General features: G+C 44.1%; 1 protein-coding gene across 3 annotated transcripts in view, besides 2 other annotated features; it reads left to right on the top strand.

The window, feature by feature from the left end:
• The window catches only part of CRYL1 (crystallin lambda 1), a 122189-nt gene that overhangs the window by 1797 nt on the left and 95748 nt on the right, over window positions 1-24644 (top strand). For all 3 annotated transcript variants that reach the window (NM_001363647.2, NM_015974.3, XM_005266416.6), the window contains exon 2: window positions 11511-11618. In NM_001363647.2, the coding sequence (NP_001350576.1) occupies window positions 11511-11618 (108 nt within the window). The remainder of the gene's footprint in view (window positions 1-11510; window positions 11619-24644) is intronic.
• Window positions 16897-17191: an enhancer, noted in NCBI's record as "tiled region #6807; HepG2 Activating non-DNase unmatched - State 6:EnhF, and K562 Activating non-DNase unmatched - State 24:Quies". NCBI's record gives its function as "activates a minimal TATA promoter and a strong SV40 promoter by Sharpr-MPRA in HepG2 and K562 cells {active_cell/tissue: HepG2 | K562}" and the evidence as "EXISTENCE:reporter gene assay evidence [ECO:0000049][PMID:27701403]".
• Window positions 21107-22103: an enhancer, noted in NCBI's record as "H3K4me1 hESC enhancer chr13:21076097-21077093 (GRCh37/hg19 assembly coordinates)". NCBI's record gives its function as "activates a minimal SCP1, AML or CMV promoter by ChIP-STARR-seq in primed H9 embryonic stem cells {active_cell/tissue: H9 hESC(primed)}" and the evidence as "EXISTENCE:reporter gene assay evidence [ECO:0000049][PMID:30033119]".

Here is a 24644-nt window from a genome sequence, read left to right as displayed (position 1 = left end):
CTGGTTGGTCTTGAACTCCTGGGTGCAAGCGCTTTGGCCTCCCAAAGTGTTGGGGTTACAGTTGTGAGCCACCTTGCTTGGCCTTGTATAGGTCCATCATGCCTTGGAGTAGTGTTATGCATGCACCTAATACATGTGAAGTAAAGTTTTAGTTGATTGTGCAGTTATCTGGCTGTGGGTGGCTCAGTCTACTGAGGAGGAGCTTCAGTTAACAGTTTACTTCTGATTCCTTGAGGGATGTTGATAAGGAATTAGAGAAAGGCTTCCAAACTTTAAGGACCACATAATTCTCTGGGGCCTCTGCTTGTTTCTTTGTTTTCTGGTGTGAAAATCTTGTCTTTCCCCCACCCTCAGCACTTCAGCACACACCCAGCTCTGCCTCTGGGACAGTGCTGGTTTCTTCCCTTCCTCTTTACCACCCTTCTTTCTCGTCCCTCTATTTCTTTCCTGGCCCCACAGGTGATTCCAAGGAACACCCACTTAACAAATAGGGCTTGGGGAATGTCAATTAATTTGCCAAAACCTGGTTCAGTTTCATTCTTAGGTTTCAACAGACCAAAATATACATATTTCAATTTCAGGAGCATATTGTGTTTTCAGCTTTCCTTATCAGTTTATAGATTTCATCTTGAAAGTACCTGCTAGGAATACAGTCCCACTTAATTCTTTTCCGCTGATCTTTTTCCAAAGTTCACTCTTCCTTAGGGCCACTTAGCTGTCCTATAAACATCCAGGGCAAGTCCCTTCAGAATGGGGAGGGCTTGAAAGAGGATGAGAGAAACTCTTTTGGGCCTAGGGCTGCAGGAAAATCTGGTAGTGATAACTTTTAAAAATGGGAGTAGAAGTCCAGGCATGGTGGCTCATGCCTGTAATCTCAGCACTTTGGGAGGCCTAGGAGGGCAGATCACCTGAGGTCAGGGGTTCGAGACCAGTCTGGCCAACATGGCGAGATCCCGTCTCTACTAAAAATACAAAAATTAGCCGGGCGTGGTGGTGCATGCCTGTAATCCCAGCTACTCAGGAGGCTGAGTCAGGAGAATCGCTTGAACTCAGGAGGCGGAGGTTTCAGTGAGCCAAGATCACACCACTGCACTCCAGCTGGGGGATAGAGTGAGACTCCATCTCAAAAAAAAAAAAAAAAAAAAAAAAGTAGAAATGGGTATCATGAAGATAAATTTGCATTGGAGTAGTGTTCTAAGGCTTTCATTTTGTTAGCCTTACCTTTATAAAACACTGTGTTTCTAAATCGCTAAAATATGAGTTCTGTATTTGTATACACACTGCAAGATTCAGCTTGTAGCCCTTGAGCTTGTTTAGAATAGGAACACAAAATGTTCCTGGTGCAGGGCATGCCCTTTCTCCTGTCCTGCTTTTTAGGGGGCACACTCTTTCAGGATCAAGCTCAGGGACTGTCTCCTCCAGGAAAAGTTCTGCTTCTGGGCCTTTCCCCTAAGGATAGAAACTGTATTGTTGCCATTTGTATCCACCATGCGTGGTCCCAATAGACAGATAGTTGAGCGTTTGTAACAGAGACTGCTTATTTTTTAACTGATGTGCCCTATGAAGGGCTTGGTAGGACGTTGTTTTATATCAAGAAAAACATCCCATAAACTAGAAAGGCAAGAAAGAAAGGTATCCTATAAACTACAGTCTCCTTCATTTTTTTTAATTCCAAAATTTTGTTTGGGGTGATTGTACTTTTTTTTTTTGAGACGGATTCTTGCTCTGTCAGGCTCAGGCTGAAGTGCAGTGGCACCATCTCAGCTCACTGCAACCTCTGCCTTCTGGATTCAAGCAATTCTCCTGCCTCAGCCTCCCAAGTAGTTGGGACTACAGGCACGAACCACCATTGCTGGCTAATTTTCGTATTTTTAGTAGAGACAGGGTTTCTCCATGTTGCCCAGGCTGGTCTCGAACTCCTGGCCTCAACTGATCCGCCCACCCTAGCCTCCCAAAGTGCTGAGATTACAGGCGTGAGCCACTACACCTGGCCTGTGCATTTTTTATAAGAAACTTTCTGAGGCATGAATTTTCTTTGAAGTGCTATTCTAGGTATTTTCCTGCTAATTTTTGTACACATACACAGCAAACCCTAGGATGCCCTCCTTGCCTTTTGAGTCAGCTTAGACACTAAATGTGCCCTTCGCAGGAGTTACTTAATAGCTCTTTCTGGCAAAATTTCCATAGTAGACTGAGATCATGAGTGTAGGAACAGTTTTACTTCAATTTTTACCCAGTAAATAAGTAACTGTAGCTGGAAAGATACTTTCAAATGTATCTAAAGTGAATTTATTCAAAATTAAGTGACATTAATGATAGAATTGAAGCAATTATATCACTTTTCTCCCCTGCTGCTTTGCTACTGTGTAACAGAATAAATGTTCATCTGCATTCACCTTTTGTAGTACCCATTAAGATTCATGAATTCAGAAGCTTTAAGACATGTCGCAATAGTCACAGTGGGAAGGGCATTGAATTACCTCTATCGCTGGCTCCCATTTTGAGGTCCCCAGGCATATAGTGGTTGGAAAAAAGGCCAATAAGATGTCACAAGCTCTCAGGACAGGAAGTTAATTATTCTTGGGCCTGATGTAAGGTAGTATTGGGGAACAATACTGAGGGAAACCTGAAACAGAAACCTGAGGAAAACCAAGCCAGGGAACTTTCTAGCTCTGGGGCCGTGCAATCTGGTCCCTGTGCCTCTCTGTAGCTTCCTTTGCTCTGTAGATTCCCTCTCCTTGTACTTGCTCACTTTTCTTTCCTTCCCTGTGACTTTATCTTGCACATCACTGCCAACCCTAAGGTTATCCTCTTTCAAGTATAGTGCCTCTTACTGATTTTTTTTCTGTATTTTGGGTCCAATTTATTTCCTTTCTTTCTTTCTTTTTTTCGTTCGTTCGTTCCTTCCTTCCTTTCTTCCTTCTTTCTTTCTTTCCTTTTTTTTTTTTTTTTTTTTTTGAGACGGAGTCTCGCTCTTTCACCCAGGCTGGAGTGCAGTGGCGTGATCTCCGCTCACTGCAACCTCCGCCTCCGGGTTCACGGGATTCTCCTGCCTCAGCCTCCCGAGTAGCTGGGACTACAGGCCCCTGCCACCACGCCTGGCTAATTATTTATATTTTAGTAGAGATGGGGTTTCACCGTGTTAGACAGGATGGTCTCGATCTCCTGACCTCGTTATCCACCCACCTCGGCCTCCCAAAGTGCTGGGATTACAGGCGTGAGCCACCGTGCCCGGCCCGGGTCCAATTTTCAAGAGAGGAAACCCAGTGGTTTCACCTCTGTGCATCCCAGGCTGCAGATGTTATAGGGTGCTCCTAAGCCAGTTGATTGGCTGCTTTGGGTCAGGTGTCCAATCCATGTCCAATCAGCAATGACTGAGTGTGTGGGCGTGAAGGGGTGGGGGAAAAGACACCAGCTGGTCCCCAGGGGTCAGCGGTCTGCTGTTGGTCCTCTGCAATGAAGGGGCCAATCTCAAGACTGAAAGGGAAGTGGGGCCCAGTCCAATCACCTGATATTTGATGCCAGAATCCTGGCCGATGGTTACCCTCCCTCAGGTCAGATAATTGCGATTCCAAGGATTTGCTGCCTGTTTGATTAGGGGGCTGCCTTTCCCTGAGCAACAGCAGCGGGGTAAGACCCAAGCCATGGAGGCAGGTGCATTAGCCCCAGACCAAAGCACCATGCTCCCTCCCTCATGATTGCTTCCCCTCTCCAGGGTTCAGACCCCGCAGCCAGCAAACATATAGTTGTTCCCTGAAAACAGAAAAGCACCCTCTCTTGACCCCATTTTTCCCTCTGGTAATTGCCACATTGCTCCTCAAAACTTAATAAACTTATCCATATTGTCTCCAGTTTCTTTCTTCCTATCCATATTCTCTCTCTTAACTTTGTGTTAGGGAAACATTTCAAACTGTGTTAAAGTTGAGAGAACAGTGCAATGAACCTTAAAGTACCTTCCCCCACCCCCTCAACTTCAACAATTATTAACACATGGCTAATATGGTTTCAGTTATTCTCCCTTCTCTGGATTGTTCTGAAACAAATGCCAGGCATTGAATCATTTCGTCTGTAAATATGTCAGCATGTATAGTATCTAAAAGATATGGACTGTTTTAAAACTATATAACCACAATAGCATCATCATGTGTAAAACATTAACACAATTCCTTAATATCTTCATGTAATATCTTTAAATATCTCTTCCATATTCAAGAGTTCCCTGATTAATTTTTTAAATACTTGGCTTGATTGATTTAGGGTCTAAATAAGGCCCACATGTTATATTTAGTCAATAAGATTCTTAGCTCTTTCAATCTATAGATTGTTCATCCCTCTCTGGTTTTGTAAAATTTTTCTTGCCGTTTATCTACTGAAGAATTTGAGTCATTTGCCCTGTAAAATTTCCCATATTCTAGGTTTTGCTGAATGTATCCCTTCCCTCCCCTCCCCTCCCCTTCCCTTCCCAAGATGGGGTCTCGCTATGTTGCCCAGGCTGGTCTTGAACTCCTGGGTGCAAGCCATGTACCTACTTCAGCCTCCTAAAGTGCTGGGATTACAGGCGTGAGCCACTGCGCCCAACCCATGTAGTGTCATTTGTCATGTTCCACCATCCCTTCATTTCCTGAAACTGGTAGTTAGGGCTAGAGGCTCATTTTCTCTTAAACCTACCCTGAGCAGTCTTTCATCAATCCCACAAATCTGCTCTTGTCATGGTCCCCACCGCCATTCATCTTGCAAAACCCAATGGTCAATCCTCAGTTCAAGTGTTCATCAGCAGCGTTTGATGCAGATGGCAGCTCCCTTCACTTTCCTGACTACACCCCCCTCCCATCTCACTGGCACTCCCTTTTGTCCCCATATTCTTCCCCATTAAAGTTGGAGTGTCCCAAGGCTGAATCCTTGGACTTCTTTATCGATATTCACTTTCTTAGAGATCTCACCCAGTCACACACTTTTAATACCACATCTCTACAGTAAATCCCAAATTAATATCCCAGCCCAGCCCTTGGCTCTGAACCTGGATACTTACAGCCAGCGATTTGCTAGACCCACCCTTAGCATTTCTCACTGAAAACATCCCGTTTTGAACTGATCTTCCCTCCTAACATCTGCTCCATTGCTAGTCTTTCCCAGCAGAGTTAATGACATCTCCATCCTTTCTTGTCCAAAAGAAACTTGGCACTGTCCTCCATTTTTCTTTTTCTCACATCCACATGCAATTCGCCAGCAATTCTTCTTGGCTGTACTGTGAAAATACTGCACATTCATTTCTCAGCTGACCCCTTTCCAGCACCCCCTCTGCCTCCGTCCTGGTCCCGCCTCCCATCGCATCGGGCACCAGCCTCCTGACACCCAGCTGGTCTCCTGACTTCCATCTTTGCCCTTCTGCAGTATATTCTCAGTAAGACAACTAGAATGTCCCTTTAAAAACAGAAGTCAGATGATATCTTTTGTCTAAAACCTTCTATTAGCCAACTATCTCACTCAGTAAAAACCAAAATCCCTCCATTGCTTCTGAGGTGCCATGCAATGAGCTCACCGTTCTCTCCTTCCCTTTGACCTCATTGTCCCCTCCTTCCTCTCCCCCCACCGCCCCTCCAGCAGAGCACCAGCCTTGTTGATCTGGACCAGCTGGGCAAACAGACTCTTTGAGGAACACTTGTCGCAGAAATACACTCATGGCTTGGCCCCTTACCTCCGTTGCTAAAATGTCACCTTCCCAGTGAGACAGTCCCTGGTGGCGCTTTTAACATTTCTCTGCCTCTCAGTCCCTACTCCCCTGCTTTCTTTCTCCCAAGTGCTTTTGCTTATTTAGTTTGTTGTCTGCCTACCTACTATGAGCTCCTTGGGGTCAGGAACTGGGCAGTGCCTGCACATGGTAGGTGCCCTTTACGTATTTCCTCAGTGAGTCATCGTTGCCTTCTAATTAACCCCATGGCAAGAGCCAGCTGACCGTTATCTCGTATTTTTCACTTGATAACCATGGCTTTTTCACATTTATTGAGCCTCTACAACATGCCAGGAATATGAAGGTGAGTGCTAGTTCCTGGTGCATAGAGTTTACCCTGTTGAACAAATAAATTCATACTGCTCACTAGCATTGCTTTTTTTTTTTTTTTTTTCTTGAGACAGAGTCTTGCTCTGTCGCCCAGGCTGGAGTGCAGTGGTGTGATCTCGGCTCACTGCAAGCTCCGCCTCCCGGGTTCACGCCATTCTCCTGCCTCAGCCTCCCGAGTAGCTGGGACTACAGGCATCCGCCACCATGCCCGGCTAATTTTTTGTGTTTTTAGTAGAGATGGGGTTTCACCATGTTAGCCAGGTTGGTCTCGATCTCCTGCCCTCGTGATCCACCCGCCTCGGCCTCCCAAAGCGCTGGGATTACAGGCATGAGCCACTGCGCCCGGCCACTAACATTGTTTTTTATTTTAAACTTCACTATGCAAAATTTACTTTTTTTATTTTTTTGAGATGGAGTTTTGCTCTTGTTGCCCAGGCTGGAGTGCAGTGGTGCGATCTCAGCTCACTGCAACCTCCGCCTCCCAAGTTCAAGCGATTCTCCTGCCTCAGCCTCCTGAGTAGCTGGGATTACAGATGCGTGCCACCACTCCCAGCTAATTTTTGTATTTTCAGTAGAGACAGAGTTTCACCGTTTTGGCCAGGCTGGTCTCGAATTCCTGACCTCAGATGATCCACCTGCCTCGGTCTCCCAAAGGGTTACAGGTGTGAGCCACTGCACCCGGCCATAAAGATTTCAAAATCCAAAAACAATTTGCAATCTGAAATACTGGGCCCAAGCATTTTGAATAAGGCCCACTCGGCCTGTACTGCATTTGTCATCTGCTCCTGTCTCTCCATCCACTCCCAGGCTTGCACACCCATATAAGGTGGGTGCCAGAGGTAGAATTTTTTTCAGAGTTTTGTCCCAGGATAAAGACTGTATTGAGAAAGTTGACTTTGGGTAGAGCAAGATTACCTTCTTTTTTATACAGGGTCTTGCTCTGTCTGAGGCTGGAGTACAGTGGCGTGATTGTAGCTCACTGCATACTGCATCCTTGAACTCCTGGGCTCAAGTGATCCTCCTGCCTCAGCCTCCTGAGTAGCTGGGACCACAGGCATGTGCCACTACACCCAGCTAATTTAAAATTTTTTTTTGTAGAGATGCAGTTTCCCTCTGTTGCCCAGGCTCTTCTTGAACTTCTGGGTTCTAATTATCCTCCCGCCTCAGCCTCCCAAAGTCCTGGAATTACAGGTGTGAGCCAGGCCTGTTCAAAATTATCTTTTGGCCGGGCGTGGTGGCTGACGCCTGTAATCCTAGCACTTTTGGAGGCCAAGGCAGGTGGATCACAAGGTCAGGAGATCGAGACCATCATGGCTAACATGGTGAAACCCTGTTTCTACTAAAAAATACAAAAAATTAGCCAGGCGTGGTGGCGAGCGCCTGTAGTCCCAGCTACTTGGGAGGCTGAGGCAGGAGAATGGCGTGAACCCAGGAGGCGGAGCTTGCAGTGAGCCGAGATACCCCCACAGCACTCCAGCCTGGGCGACAGAGCAAGACTCCATTTCAAAAAAAAAAAGATTATCTTTTGATATTCAGTCCCCAGGAGAACAAAGCCATGTGCTGAGGCTTGAAGAGGGGCCAGGGAAACTGAGATTGAAATGTTACAAATACATATTTCCTCTAGGCTAGTGAGAAAGTGCCCAGTTGCCTTCTGGTGGGGTAGGTAAGCCTTGTCCCCACTCAGAATCATCCTTTTGCAGGGTAAGTTAGTGTTCATTTTTTTAAAAAAATATTTTTTAAACTTTTAAACCACATTTAGCATAGTAAAATAGACATAACATACAATTTGCCTTTTTTTTTTTTTTTTTTTTTGAGATGGAGTTTTGCTCTTTCGCCCAGGCTGGAGTGAAGTGGTGCCATCTTGGCTCACCGCAACCTCCTCCCCACCGGTTCAAGCGATTGTCCTGCCTCGGCCTCCTGAGTAGCTGGGATTACAGGTGCCCGCCACCATACCTGGCTAATTTTGTATTTTTAGTAGAGATGGGGTTTCCCCATGTTGGCCAGGCTGGTCTTGATCTCCTGACCTCAAGTGATCCACCTGCCTCAGCCTCCAAAAGTGCTGGGAATATAGGCGTAAGCCACTGCGCCCAGCCCAACTTGCCATTTTAACAGTTCTTAGTGTACAGTTCAGTAGTGTTAAGTATGTTCCCATTGTTGTACAATCAATCTTTTCATCTTGCAGAATTAAAACTCTGTACCCATTGAACAACAGCTGCTCATTTCCCCCAGCCCCAGCCCCTGGCATCCACCCTTCTAGCTTTCTGTCTCTATGGGTACCTCAGGTAAGTGGAATCGTAGGGCATTTGTCATTTTGTGACTGGCTTATTTCATTTGGCAAAATGTGCTCAAGATTCATCTGTGTTGTGGCATGTGTCGTTTCTTTTTAAGGCTGAGTTAGTGTTTATTCTTAAAAGCCTAAGACTCTGCACACAGATAGCTGTTTTTTGCATTCACACCTTAAGGCAACTCCCTACATTATGCCAAATGTGACATTTGTTTCCCCCTCACCCTTCTACTCAACTAAATTTAAGTATTATTATTATTAATTATTATTATTTACTGGCTCCATCCACTCTTATGAAAATTTAAGTATTATTGCTTTACATTTTTACGGCACGAGTTGGTTGTCAAAGCATGTTTACAAACATTTATTTTTAATAACAGCAGTACTGAGCTGTAATTCACCCATTTAAAGTGTACAATTCAGTGGTTTTAGTATATTCACAAGGTTGTGCATCCATCACCACAATCAATTTTACAACATGCTCATCATCCCAAACCTTGGACCCACTAGCTATCACTTTTCATTCCTTCCTCCCCTAGCCCTGGGCAACCACAAATCTACTTCCTGTCTCTATGGATATGTCTATTCCGGACATTTTATAAATGGAATCATACAATACGTGAACCTTTGTGACTGGTTTCTTCCACTTAGCATAATGTTGTCAACATTCATCCATGTGGCATGTGTCAGCATTTCATTCCTTTTTGTGGCTGAATAGCTCTGTTATATGGGTATGCCACATTGTATCTGTTGCATTTAGCTGTTATGAATAATGCTGCTATAATCATTGGTGTACAAGTTTTTTTGTGGACATGTTTTCATTTCTGTTGGGTAGATACCTAGGAATGGAACTGCTGTTACATGCTTTCATTAAAAAAAACCTTTATTTTTTTAGACAATTTTTACATTTTTACAGAAAAATTGTGGAGATAGTATAGAGAGTTTTCATATGTCATCTCACCAAATTTCCCCTATTATTAACATCTTACATTAATATGGTGCATTTGTAACAATTAATGAACCAATATATTATTGTTAACATCGTTTATTAATAATTTTAATAATATTGGCTATTCATGACCAACACATTATTATTTAACAACATTCACATTTTATTCAGATTTCCTTAGTTTTTACCTAATGTCTTATTGCTGTCCCAGGATCCCCTCTAGGATACCAAATTACAATAATCATTTCTCTTTTGACTCATCTAAACTGTGACAGTTACGCAGACTTTCCTTGTTTTTGATGACCCTAACAGTTTTGAGGAGCACCAGTCAAGTAGTTTGTAGAATGTCCCTCCGTTAGGATTTGTCCGATGTTCTTCTCATGATGAGAATGGTGCTATGGGTTTTGGGGAGGAAGACCACAGGGATAAAGCATCGTTTTCACTTTGTCTTATATCAAGAGTGCATACTCTCAATGTGAGTTACCACTGTTGTTGGTGACTTTGAACACCTGGCTGAGGGAGGGTTTGTCAGGTTTCTCCACTGCGTGGTGACCCTAACTTTTCCCTCTTCCATACTGTGCTTTTTGGAAGGAGGTCACTCTGCACACGGAAGTGGGGGTGATGCCCTACCTGCCTAAGGGGGAGTAACTACATAAATTATTTGGCATTTTTCTGCAAGGGAGATTTGGCTTCTTCTTCATTTATTCAAGCATTTATTTGTGTTATACTTTGTGTTATAATCCAGTATTGCTGTATTAATTTTGTGGCTCAAGTTCCAGCTTTGGCCATTGGGAGCTCCTATATCGGGCCCCTATCCCTTTGACATGCCCCATCGATGCGTTTTTTTTTTTTTTTTTAATACTTTCTTTTTCTTTTTGGTGCTACAAACTGCTCCGGGCTCATCTTGTATATTTTCTGGCTCTGTCTTCAAATTAGCCATTTCTCCAGGGAGTCCTGCTTCCTATTACTGGAGAATAGTATTGGAAACCAAGACTTGGACTCTAGATGTGTTCTGTACATTTGTTTTTCACTCTTTGAACAACCCCATGTGAACTCTTTATGACTTTTTTTGTCTTTTCACTTTTCAGGAAGTCTGAAACAGCAGTTGGAGTGTAGTGGTTAAGAGGAAGGACTCAGGAGTCAGATTGCTTGGCTTCATCTCATAGATCCATAACTTATCACCCTTGTGGACTTAATTCCTCCATGCCTCAGTTTATCACTTATGTAGGCTTAATTCCTCCATGCCTCAGTTTCCCTACATATAAAATGGAAATACTAATAACACCTACCTTGTAGGGTTGTTGTAAAGATTAACATAGGTAAGACCTGTGGTATGTTTGATGGTGCCTGATACCTAATCCATGCTGAAATGTGGGTGGCAGTGGCAGTGGCAGTAATTATTGGGGAGGACAGGGCAGATGCTCTCTCTGTTCTTTTAAATTAATTGACTTGCCTAAGACATGGTCAAATGGAAGTTCACTAACGGGTCTTGTGTCTCCATGGTACCCTGCTACCTCCTGACTGTAATATTTTATTCAGCGTGTGAGTACATGATAAATACCTGAGATGCTGCAGGGCTCCATGTGGAATATGAATACCAGCACTGGAGTTGAGGGCTCAGGAGCTCCTGGGTGGAAACAGTTAACATTTAAAATAAATAATGTTATTAAAACGTGTACTTAAAAAAATTCATACCTAATATTCCTACATACTTATGGGGTACCTGTGATATTTTGTTACATGCATAGAATGTGTAACGATCAAGTCAGGGTATTAGCACACCCATCACCTTTAACATTTATCATTTCTTTGTGCTGGGAACATTTCAGATCTTCTAGCTGTTCTGAAATATACAACACATTGTTGTGAACTCTAGTTACCCTACAGTGCTATCAAGCTCTAGAACTTACTTTTTCTGTTAACTGTATGTTTGCACCCACTCACCAACCTCTCTTCCTCCCTCTCCCACCCCCGTCCAGCCTCTGTTAACCACCATTTTATTCTCCACCTTCATCAGATCAATGTTTTCAGCTTTCACATGAGTGAGAACATGTGATATTTGTCTTTCTGTGCCCGGCTAAAATGTGTACTTTTAAGATATGTATTGAATATTTTAAGAATAGGATACTGTGAATTTAAAAAAAACTCATTCTGGGTTAGGAATGAAAAGCCATTCGATTATTAAATTAACTCGAATCCTTTCTTTTATCTCCCTTCAGTGGAGTCATTGGGCGAAGCTGGGCCATGCTGTTTGCCAGTGGAGGCTTCCAGGTGAAACTCTATGACATTGAGCAACAGCAGATAAGGAACGCCCTGGAAAACATCAGGTGGGCCAGCCGGCGCTCTCCAGAAGGAATGGAAGTGGGTCTGTTTCTCTCAGTTGGTCTTGTTTGTCATATCCTCAAGGCTATGAGGATCTGTGATGTCACATTTTCGTCTGATGGCTACTGCAGTGCCTCTGAGTTGGTAAAGGCCAGGCCTACAGTGGCTGGAATGTGAATTCACACTGGGGAAGGGCTCCCATGGGGGAGGAAATGACCCTTCTTGCTAAGAGGATCTGCATCAAGCGTGAGTGACTTTGCAGGCTTCTCCAGCTGTTTGCCCCGGGGCTGGAGGGCTGGGGTTTCCTGCTTCCATCTAGGCAGGAGGAACTCGCTTCCAGCATGTGACAGCCATAGCTGCAGGGGCATTACAGTTTAGGAACAGAGGTCCTGCAGCTTGTTTTGACCTGTTGATCTAGTAATGGTAGGACCCAAATGAAAACATCTTGAATTTTAGTTAGAGGTTTAGCACTCATGTGAGAGGACAGAACTGGAGCTGTTTATGTGGTTATTATTAACTGTGACAGCGGTACTAGTTAAAGGTGTGAGAGTGCATGAATTTACTTAATGCTGAGTGCTAAGAATGCGGAGGGCTGTTTTAGGGATGGTAGTCACGGGAACCAAAGAAAGGCTGAGAGTGAGGGAGGTCAAGGACAGGGGAAAGAAGCCATTGCAGCGTGCCCAGAAGCAAAGGCACTGGCGTGGAGCACCCTCACCGCATGGCGCGTCCCCCTGCGGTGCCGTCACGGAACAGGGTTCTGACCATCTCAGACACGCGTTAGCTGGTTATTATCCTTATTTGGAGGGTGTCCATGAATATATGACTTGAATTTGCATTTTTGTGCAACAAAAATATGCTTACTTTATTGTCTGCATTTTGAAAAGATTAATATGTAGGGTATAGTGTTAAACTATAGGCATGAAGAAATTATATACCCTAACCTGGTGTTGTTTTACACATTAAGAACTTGAACACAGAGAAGTTAAGTTACTTCTTCCATGTTGTTACAAATAGTCAATGCGAGGGTAAAATGTCAATCTAAAAAACAAAAACCTTGTCCAGGCCTGGTAGCTCACACCTGTAATCCCAGCACTTTGGGAGGCTGAGGTGGGAGGATCATTTGAGGCCAGGAGTTCAAGACCAGTGTGGGCAACATAGTGAGACCCCGTCTCTACAGAAAAAAAAGAAAAAAATAGCCAATGTGTTGGCACCCACCTAGATAGTAGTCCTAGCTACTCGGGAGGCTGAGGCAGAAGGATTGCTTGAGCCCAGTAGTTCCAGGCTACAGTGAGCTATGATTGCACCACTGTACTCCAGCCTGGGCAGCAGAGTGAGACTTTGCCTCAACATAAATAAAATAATAAAATGCAAAGCCAACCAGACAAAAATCAAAAGTAAAACAACACCGAAAAACCACTCACATAGACTGTACTGTTTTGGAAGGAAGGGGACTTGGCATTTCAGAACCAACTACCTGCCAGCCATGTTCTGTTCACTAGGGATACATAGTGGATAATGTAGACACAGTCTTTTTTTTTGCCACGGAGCTTGTGGCCTAGTAATCTTACTGTATTAAATTCTCGTAATAAACCCTTTTGCCTGAGCTCAGGAGTTGGAGACCACCCTAAGCAACATGGTGAAACTCTATCTCTACTAAAATCAAAAAAATTATCTGGGCATGGTGGCGGGCACCTGTAATCCCAGCTACTCGAGAGGCTGAGACATGAGAGTCACTTGAGCCTGGGTGGCGGAGATTGCAGTGAGCTGAGATCACACCATTGCACTCCAGCTTGGGCTACAGAGTGAGACTCTGTCTTGAAAAAAAAAAAAAAAAAAGATTCACTTGGTGTTTACACTCTATGGATTTGGAGAAATGTATACTGACATGTATCTACCCTTGTAGTATTACACAGAATAATCCCACTGCTCTCAAATTCTTCCTTTCCATCCCTCCCTTCCCCCCAACCGCTGGCAACCACTGATCCTTTTACGGTCTCCACAGTTTTACCTTTTCCAGAATGTTATATAATTGAAATCATACAGTATGTAGGCTTTGCAGACTGGCTTCTTTTACTTAGTAAAATGCATTTAAGTTTCCTCCATGTCTTTTCATGGCTTGAGCTTGAATGATATTGCATTGCCTGGATGTACCACAATTTATTTATCTATTCACCCACTGAAGAACATCTTGGGTGCTTCCAGGTTTTGGCAATTATGAGTAAAGTTGCTCTAAATTCCATGTGCAGGTTTTTGTATGGACATAAGTTTCCAACTCCTTTGGGTGAATACCAAAAAGCACAATTGCTAGATTGGATGGTAACAGGTTGTTTAGCTTTGTAAGAAATTGCAAAACTGCCTTCCAAAATGGCTGTCCTATTTTGCATTCCCACCAACAATGAAGGAGAGATCCCATTGCTCCATATCCTTACCAGCATGTGGTGGTGTCAGTGTTCTGGATTTTAGCCATTCTAATAGGCAAATAATGGTATCTCCTTGTTTTTTTGTTTCTTGTTTTGTTTTGAGACAGTCTCCCTCTGTAGCTCAGGCTGGAGTGCAATGGCACGATCTCGGCTCACTGCAACCTCTGCCTCCCAGGTTCAAGCGATTCTCCTGCCTCAGCCTCCCGAGTAGCTGGGATTACAGGCGACTGCCACTACGCCCAGCTAATTTTTTTGTATTTTTAGTAGAGATAGGTTTTCACCACATTGACCAGGCTGGTCTCAAACTCCTGACCTCAGGTGATCCACCCGCCTCGGCCTCCCAAAGTGCTGGGATTACAGGTGTGAGCCACCAAGCCTGGCCTAATGGCATCTCCTTGTTTTGACTTGCATTTCTCTGATGACATATGATGTGGAGCATCTTTTCGTATGTTTGTCATCTGCATATCTTCTTTGAGTAGTACTTTTTAATGTAAAAACATTTTTGATTAAAGGGGAAGCCTTAAAATTTTTTCTTTCTGCATTTGCTGCGACTCTCTGTGCATAAAAACTAGTTTTATGAAGGATCCTGAGATTTTGAAAAGAGAGGCCCTTCAGGGATTCTGGTCCATCATAGTGCTGGAAGTAGAAGTCTTCAGGTAGTCTTGAAATAAATTTTAAGCCTCAGTAAAAATAGCTCAAAGTCATATAGTCAGGAGAAAGAAAAAAAAAACCCTTGATAGAGCACTAATTCTAAAAACAAAACAAAACAAAACAAAAAACTATGAGGCAAAAAGATGTTTTCAGATTGAATCAATTTTTTTTTTTTTTTTTTGGGGATTGAGTTTTGCTCTTGTTGCCCAGGCTGGAGTGCAATGGCGCGATCTTGGCTCACTGCAACCTCTGCCTCCTGGGTTCAAGCAATTCGCCTGTCTCGGCCTCCCAATTAGCTGAGATTACAGGCACAAGCCACCACGCCTGGTTAAATTTGGTATTTTTAGTAGAGGTGGGGTTTCACCATGTTAGTCAGGCTGACTCCTGACCTCAGGTGATCCACCCACCTCAGCCTCCCGAAGTGCTAGGATTATATGGGATTATAGGTGTGAGCCACTGAGCCTGGCCCAAAATGTTGTTGTTGTCAGTTTTTTTTTTTTGTTTTTTTTTTTTTTTTTTTTTTTTTTTGGAGTCTCGCTCTGCCACCTAGGCCGGAGTGGAGTGCAGTGGAGCGATCTCTGCTCGCTGCAAGCTCCACCTCCTAGGTTCATGCCATTCTCCTGCCTCAGCCTCCTGAGTAGCTGGGACTACAGGCGCCCGCCACCACGCCCGGCTAATTTTTTTTTGTATTTTTAGCAGAGACGGGGTTTCACTGTGTTAGCCAGGATGGTCTCGATCTCCTGACCTCGTGATCCACCCATCTTGGCCTCCCAAAGTGCTGGGATTACAGGCGTGAGCCACTGCACCCAGCCCAAAATGTTTTTAAAAGGCATCACAGGAAATGTAACACAAACAGCTTAATATTTGGTTTTATGGAGGTGATTTAGGGAGCAATAGGAAGTAATTTATTGATAATAAAAAAGCCGTTAATTTTATAATTGTAAAGAATGTTAAGGAATTTGTGGTCTTCCTGAGTAAATTACATCTACTTAATTAAATTCATCTTTTATTCCCACATTTGTGTATTAAAGAGCATAGCAAGCTCCACTTTGGAAATGGTGGCTGCTAAAAAATGCTTCTCCTTCTGTCCTTGAGGGCTATCCTGGCTTTTCAGGAGGCCTGGACATTTATTTTATTTTATTTTTTTTGAGACCATGTCTGTCTCCATCACCCAGGCTGGAGTGGGGTGGTGTGATCTTGGCTCACTGCAGCCTCCACTTCCTGGGTTCAGTTGATCCTCTCACCTCAGGCTCCCAAGTAGCTGGGATTAGGGGTGTGCACCACCACGCCCAGCTAATTTTTGTATTTTTTTGTAGAGACAGGGTTTCGCCATATTGGCCAGGCTTGTCTGGAAGTGATCAGCTCACCTCAGCCTCCCAAGGTGCTGGGATTACAGTTGTGAACCACTGTGCCTGGCCAGGCATGGACTTTTTTTTTTCTTTTTTCTTTTTTTTTTTGAGATGAAAAGTCTTGCTCTGTTGCCCAGGCTGGAGTGCAGTGGCTCGATCTTGGCTCACTGCAAGCTCCGCCTCCCAGGTTCATGCCATTCTCCTGCCTCAGCCTCCGGAGTAGCTGGGGCTACAGGTGCTCGCCACCACGCCCAGCTAATTTTTTATATTTTTAGTAGAGACGGGGTTTCACTGTGTTAGCCAGGATGGTCTCGATCTCCTGACCTTGTGATCCGCCTGCCTTGGCCTCCCAAAGTGCTGGGATTACAGGTGTGAGCCACTGTGCCCAGCCTGGGCGTGGACTTTTAATCAGTTTTCTGGTGACAGTATATGCAACAGGTAGGTTTGGAGCTGAGAGACATTAGCTTCATAGCTGGCCCAGTACTGGAGAAGGAGAGTACCTCCAAGGGAAGAGGAGACCCGTGAATCTCTGATTAGGTCATGCTTTAAGCCAGCCCCAAGTGGACTCCAGACAAGGAGTTGACAAACTGTTTCTGTAAAGACCAGATAGTAAATATTGTAGGCTTTGTGGGTCATATGGTCTCTGTTTCAGCCGTTCGTTGTAAAGTAAAAGCAGCCATAGACAATCAATAATCAAATAGAGGTGGTTGTATTCCAATAAAACTTTATGGATTAACATCGAACTTTGTTCGTATAATTTTCAGAGTCACAAAATGTTATTTTAAAATTTTCCCAACTGTTTAAAAATGTAAAAACCATCCGGTATTAGTCTGTTTTCATGCTGCTAATAAAGACATACCTGAGACTGAACAATTTAAGAAAGAAAAAGGTTTAATGGAGTCATAGTTCACGCGGCTGGGGAGGCCTCACAATCATGGTTGAAGGTGAACGGCACATCTCACAGAGTGGCCAACAAGAGAACTTGTGCAGGGAAACTCCGCTTTATAAAACCATCAGATCTCGTGAGACTTATTCACTGTTATGAGAATAGCATGGGAAACACCTGCCCCTGTGATTCAGTTATCTCCCACCAGGTCCCTCCCCCAACACATGGGAATTATGGGAGCTACAATTCAAGATGACATTTGGGTGGGAACACAGCCAAACCATATCACATCCTTATCTCACAGGCCATATAAAAATAGGAGATGGGCCAGATTTGGCCTGTGGGCTGTAGTTTGCTCGCTGCTACCATAGACTTTTCAATTCTGTTATCATTTCATCTTTTATCCTGTAAAGCCAATTCCAACCCACTTGTAATTAAGAGAAAATCCCACGGTTCCTAATTGAAAGTCCTTTGTTCTATTTCTTGGGTATTTGTGTTTTAGGCCTTATTTTTAGATGCATCATTAAAGATTTTTAAAGTCCTTTCAGGCATCAGGACTGATGATGCTGAATGATGGAGGGTTGTGGATAAGTTTTTTTGTTTTTTTTTTAACCAGGTTAAAGGCTTTCCTGTTATCCTACTATGCTTAATTAAGAGCTGTATTTCTTAATATCATTGGTGCCTGATTAGATTTAACTTTTAGATACAGTCTGTAAGATTTTTGAACCAGAAAAACCTAAATAACTTATGACTGTTAGCAGTCATATTCTAGAAGAAGCAAATGTACTGAATTCTTATGTACCTAGGATTTTAAGGGAGTACATACAAATCTTTCCTCAGTAGCAGGTACTTTATTTTTATAACACACACATTTAAGCTGAGTTAAATATGCAGAACTGGTTGTACTTCTTTGGCAGGAAAAGGGAAGCTTAGGATATCTTGTGACCAACTACCTCTTCCTTCTCAAATAACTGGCAAATAACTTCAGGAAAATCCAGTTATGTTGTGTCATATTGCACCCCCTAGGAAGTACTGGATTCTTAGTCTTGAGTGACTTTTAAATAAAGCTACCTTTTTCTCTTTCTTACATCGCAAGATCTTCAAATGTACCATTCCCGCACAGAGAGTCCAAGGTAAAAGGACTGAAACCAAACTTTGTTTTTGTAAGTATTTTGGTCAGTGCAATGAGTTCAGAGACCAGGAGGTTAATGATTGTGAAGTCTTGTCAACAGCAACACCGTGTATGACCTGTGGTGCTTAGATGTTCAGAAACCCCAAGGTTAAAATGTCCCTGACCACATATCAGGCAAAAGGAATGTAAGGAAAACCAACTTAATCCTTTTGTCAAGAAGTATAAATGATGTATCTTTCCAATCGGGTTGCATTGACTTTTGGGTCCAAATAGCTTGTGTCCACAGGCATCTTCCCTGACACCCTGTTTTGTGGTCTTTGTCTACCACTGTAGGTCGTGGGCTCCCTCAGGACAGACCATACATCACACCCCCAGTGTCCCTCACTATGCAGTGACGTGTGGTCTCTGTACTAGCCATTATGGACGCAGAAATAAGCAACAGGCACGTTTCCTGTCCCCAGAGCCTGAACCTGCTAGCCTGAACCTATTAGCTCAGCAATTGTTTTGACTGAGTCACAGGAACCTTTTCTAGAGTCTCCGAAGGTAATGTTTCCAGTCATATTCCTCATACACTTTTTTCTCACCGTCTATTCCACCTTGCAGTTTGGCCCACTTCCCATATTCTGATTTTTTTTTTTTTTTTTTTTTTTGGTGGGATAGAGTCTCACTTTGTTGCCCAGGCTGGAGTGCAGTGGCACGATCTTGGCTTACTCTAACTTCTGCCTCCCGGGTTCAAGCAATTCTCCTCCTTCAGCCTCCCGAGTAGCTGGGACTACAGGCATGTGCCACCACGTCTGGCTGATTTTAGTATTTTTTATTAGAGATGGGGTTTTGCCATGTTGGCCAGGCTGGTCTCTAACTCCTGATCTCAGGTGATCTACCTGCCTTGGTCTCCCAAAGTGCTCGGATTACAGGCGTGAGCCACTGTGCCCAGCCATATTCTGATTCTTTTTTAACGTTTCATATTAGAAAATGTCACGTGGTTGAAATTTCACTACATCTGCATGAATATTCTGTGTGTGTTAGACCTATTAAAAACTAATGGTATTAAATAGTAGAAATGGTACATATGGATTCTGAACCTGTAAAAATGAACTTAAACGGGGGGAAGTTGATTTAAAAAAATATTAAAACATTAGAAGATAAAAGAAATTATCACAACTCATACCATGCCAAGGGATCTTAGTGAACTTGAAAAACAAAAAGCTGTCATCTGAGACTAATCTTTTTCTAACAGGGTGGCACAATAAGAAACTTAAAACTTAGCATGTTTACATTTCATAATAGAAGGTCGCTTGACCTTGGAGAACCTCATTAGCAGATACTTTACTGCTTTGTCTTTGTTCACCATTGTATGCCCAGTGCTTGGCCTGCATTAGGTCTCAAGTAAGAAGTTTAGAGGATGAAGCTGTGTTTTAAGAAGAAAAGCAAATCCCAGCACTTTGGGAGGCCAAGGCAGGTGGATCACCTGAGGTCAGGAGTTCGAGACCAGCCTGGCCAACGTAGTAAAACCCCATCTCTACTAAAAATACAAAAAAATCAGCTGGGCGTGATGGTGGGTGCCTGTAATCGCAGCTACTCAGGAGGCTGAGGCAGGAGAATCGCTTGAACGTGGGAGGCAGAGATTGCAGTGAGCCAAGATTGCACCACTGCACTCCAGCCTAGGTGACAGAGCGAGACCCTGTCTCAAAAAAAAAAAAAAAAAAAGAAAAGAAAAGAAAAGAAAAAAGAAAAGCAAATCAAGTAAACAAAGTTGTAACACGGACCTACAGATCAGGAGTGTTTTAGTTCTTAAGATTTGGAGCTAGACTCATTTCCACGTAGCAGGTGGGCCATTCTAGTCCTCAAGGGACCAGGCCGCCCTGACTTAGGCTGTGTTGACATCTTGGTGACCACCCCAACTCCAGGAGCCAAACACACTGCCTTGTCTGGCCTGAGTCCCTATCTGAAATCGCCATCTTTAGGGGCCTGTACGCTTCGATCTTGGTTTCTCCACCATCTGTACATGGTCACCCTGGCACCCAGCTCCACCTAAAAGTGAATCATCTTTCTGAATGGACTAGGAGTTAATAAACCACCAGCAGTGATCTCTGAAACTAGGTAGGCCTGTACTGTGTCTCCTAAGTGACTGAATTTCTTGTGCTTGGACGCAGGCATTTCCAGTAACTGGGTCTCTGACCTGTTTTTAACTTGCTACCTAGGTCTCTGCCCTGGCCTAATCTTGAACTGTGTTTTGATCTGGATTGGTCTGTTCTCCTGATTTGAAACCTTTAGTTTTCCCACATACTGTTGGCCAGAATAACTGAGTATGGTCACAAATTGTTCCCGTCTCTGTCTGCACTCCCCTGTGCATTGTGACTTTGCTCCTCTCACCCCCTTACTCTGGGCTTAGCCACGGGCTTGCATCGGCCAGTCGGTTATTAGCACATGTGGCATGCACAGCAGAAGGCCTGGAAAGTGCATGTGCATTGAGATTCGTTCGCTTCCTGCTGGGGACCCTTCTTCCCTCCTCATCTGGTCAGCCCAGCCTAGTCAGCGGGAGGTGTGTGGCCCAGCTACCAGCCAGCACCATCCAGCACAGCACCGACTGCTAAACAGATGAGGGAAGCCATCCTAGACCAGCCCCCAGACAACCCACTACTCATTGCAAGCCGCATGAGTGAGCCCAGCTGAGCCAGCCAAAATTATTAAAGCCCGTGTCTGTTGCCCAAAGTTCATGGCAGTGGCTGCGGGTTCAGCCGGGTTGTTCAATCTGACTTCCCTGTGAGTTCACAGATCCTGCTATCACTTAGCTGTCATTAGGACAGATCAAATAATTGCTTCATTTGCCTTATTTTTCTTCCCAAATAAAAATAGCCTTGTTTTATCTGATTTGTAAAAGTCATATATATGCTAATTATATATCCATAGTATTGGGGAGAAGCCAAAATATTAATACTTTGACTCTGGGCGGCAGGATTCCGAGTGATCTTGCTGCATATTCTGAGGCCGTGCGCTTCCGGTATGATCCTGCGTGCTTCCGGCATGATCCTGTGTGCTGTGCATCTAGACCAATGCACATTAGCAGTCATGGTTGGGCTATGAAGGTGTAGGTGCTGTCAAGGATTGGACTCAAGAATTGTGTGACTCCTACCTTGACTGGCCATTGTCTCCCTGTGAGGTTTCCAACAAGGTGAACAGGAAACCAAAGTACCCCATTTTTTAACCGGGCCTTGATACTCCAGTGTAAACTTTGGTGAAATTGATTGCCTTGACACTTAAGCAGGCCCTCTCCTCCCCTGTCTGTCTCCCTGCTACCCAGATCCCAGTGTTACCACTGGCCTGGAGGGAGGAGGGGAGGAGACCTTTTTTTTTTGAGACGGAGTCTCGCTCTATCGCCCAGGCTGGAGTGCAGTGGCGTGATCTCGGCTCACTGCAAGCTCCTCTTCCCGGGATCACACCATTCTCCTGCCTCAGCCTCCCGAGTAGCTGGGACTACAGGCGCCCGCCACCACGCCCAGCTAATTTTTTTTTGCATTTTTAGTAGAGATGGGGTTTCACCATGTTAGCCAGGATGGACTTGATCTCCTGATGTCGTGATCCACCCACCTCGGCCTCCCAAAGTGCTGGGATTACAGGTGTGAGCCACCTCGCCCGGCCGGAGGGAGGAGACCTGAGTGAGGAGGGGGAAGCGGGGAGGGCAGAGACCCGGATGGGCCACAGTGGCGTGGATCCAGGCAGGCAGACCCACAGCCCTCCTGTGCGACAGAAGGTAGTTTTCTTTCTTCCTACAGTGCATTTAAGTTCACATGCCTCACTACAAGGTTTGCAGATCCCGAAGTCTAAGGGGGCTGGGTGGCTAATGGGTGTGAATAATGGGGTGGGGTGGAGACCTGGGCAAACTGGAGGTAGTCTTTGGAGATAGGCATGCCAGATTTTTAAAACATTGTGCTGTCAAACGGAAGTCTGGAGCTACTCTTCTTAATGAAAACTTGAGTGTTCTGCCCTCTTCCCAACTTCAGAAACACCTGCCATGATTGTTAGTGTCCACACACTATCACCGTGCCACATGGACTGTGTGGTTGGGCTGTCTTCTGACTCTTTTGCATTGCAGTAACTTAATTAAAGATTTTTGTGCAGCCTCAACTTAACCTGCCCGTCTGGAGTTAGAGTGATCCCTGGGGCTGGAGTCGGGTGGAGTCTGGCTCAGCCCTCTGCCTCTGCATAATCAGGGCCTAGAAACAACAGCAATGTCAACGTCAAAGCAGACAGCACAACACAGCCATCCCATAAGGAAGCAATCCCTGGCCTTTCTATTTCCTCACTGCTCTCTGTTCTTTGCCTCCAGTGTGCTAGAATTTCTGTTGGCTGGAGATGAGGTAGACTCACCTCCTTAAGCTAATCTTACCTGATCTTCCATGTCTGCCCCATTCTTCCCCATCTTTAGCTCTTCAGATCCTCAGACCTTCAGGAATAGGTGGGAGCCAAAGACCCTGCCAGAAATCCCCTTGGGAGTTCACTATAGGCTGGCACTGAGATTTCTGAAAGAAATGTTAGCCATGCCCTTTATTCCTCAGGAAGCTGCATTATACATGGAGTCATACTGTAGATAGAAAGCAGGCAGCACAGTGTGAAAATAAGTGAGCAGTGCAGAGGGGTCCAGTGTGGCTCAGCGGCCCAGACTGTGAGCTTTGCAGTCAGATCTGGCTCAGCCTTCATAGCTGGGTAACTCACTCAATCTGTTTCCTCATCTGGGATATGGAGACATAATAATACCTTCCTCATAATGTGGTTTTGTTACCAAAACACCAAGAGTTTGGTCTAGGTGCTGCTGCTCACAGCAGTGAAAGCCAATGACTGAAATGATGAGTACAGCCAAGGAAGAAGGCTTTAATCGGCTGCTGCAGCCAAGGAGATGGGAGTTCAGTCTCAAATCCATCTCCCTGACCACCTAAAATCAGGGGTTTATATAGCAGGAAAGAAATGTAGCACTGTGTAGGAAAACAGGAACTAGGGGGGGGCAAGGAAGCAATCATGGTGAATGAGGGGCCTGGAGTCTCATTGTATGGATGTGATGATCTGGTAAGTTTCAGTTCTTCAACACTTTTTTTTTTGAGATGCCTGAAGTAATTTCCTGAGGAAAGAACTCAGATAAAACCAATAGAAATTTCAAGCTTTAAGGCAAAAAGTATCAATTTCTATGTTTACTGAAAAAATTGAGTGGGTTTCAGTCTCCCCTTGTTTATAGATTCCTCAACCATGGGGCATCTGGTCATCCATCTTTCTGTCTCCTTCCTGCTGAGGAGAGGCATTGTGGGCAGCTCCATACCATGGAAGACCTCATGACCATCCAGGAATCAAAGGCTAATCTAATACTAAAGTTTTTCTTCTGAAACACAATCTTTTTCTCCAGTCTACCACTTTCACAAAGACATCACAGCAGGACCAATCTACCTGCAAAATAAGCTTCAGTCCCATATACTTGGCCTGATTACCCACACAAAATGGAACAAGAATCACTGTTCTCATAGGCTCTCCTAAATTGGCTTTGCTAGAACCTCTCTCAAGGCCATTTTAGTCAAAGCCCTGGGAAAACAACCAGTTCCTTCAACTGTGTCCCATTACCAAAGAAAACATGTTGTTATTAACTGTATGCAAACAAACACATTGCCATGAATTAAGAATACTCACAAATAGTTTATAAATTCTGGATAAATTAGAGAAATATGCCTCAAATTCTGTTTACAAAAGTATACTCTACTCACTATACTTAAAAGATACTTAAAGGATGACTCAAAAGAAAAAAATTCTTCAGACTCTGAAAAACAAAAAGAATGAGCAATATTTCAAACAAAAAAGCCATAAAAGTTATTTCAGTCCTCCATTAGTTCCGTCCATGCAGACAACTCCTGCTCTGCTTCATGTTGAGTTAGCCATCTTTGTGAACACATCAGTGTTTCCATTAGTGCACTGGAAGTTTTCTCTCACATCCAATGGCACAATCTCCGAAGTTATCAGAAACTTGTATTCAAGAGTCCTTTTCATGAACTCCCCCCAAAGAAACAAGCCCTGGACAGTAGCTGATTATAAGTCACTTTTTGTGAAGAATCAACACAAAACAACAATTGTGGATGACAAAAGTCTTAGGACAACCACAGTTAAAGACACTGTTGACAAGGAAATTTGGTTATTTCTGTGGGATACAACAATTTAACATGAAAATCATAATTATTACTGACAACATATTAAGACATATCAGAATTATAAGAATCTAATATAATCCTGGAACACATTGACAACACATCTATATAAACATAACCAAAGGGAGCTAAACAACATCTCAGATTTGACAATGCTTCCTACATTTTTTTTTGTGTGTGTGTCAGAGTCTCGCTCTGTCACCCAGGCTGGAGTGCAGTGGCATGATCTCGGCTCACTGCAAGCTCTGCTCTCGGGTTCACGCCACTCTCCTGCCTCAGCCTCCCTAGTAGCTGGGACTACAGGCGCCTGCCACCACGCCCGGCTAATTTTTTTTTTCATTTTTTTAGTAGAGATGGGGTTTCACCGTGTTAGCCAGGATAGTCTCGATCTCCTGACCTCACGATCCACCCGCC

This window comes from Homo sapiens, chromosome 13 (genome assembly GCF_000001405.40).
Source record: "Homo sapiens chromosome 13, GRCh38.p14 Primary Assembly".
Taxonomy (NCBI): domain Eukaryota; kingdom Metazoa; phylum Chordata; class Mammalia; order Primates; family Hominidae; genus Homo; species Homo sapiens.
Note: the sequence above shows the minus strand (reverse complement) of the source record. Positions and strands in the feature narration are given on the sequence as shown.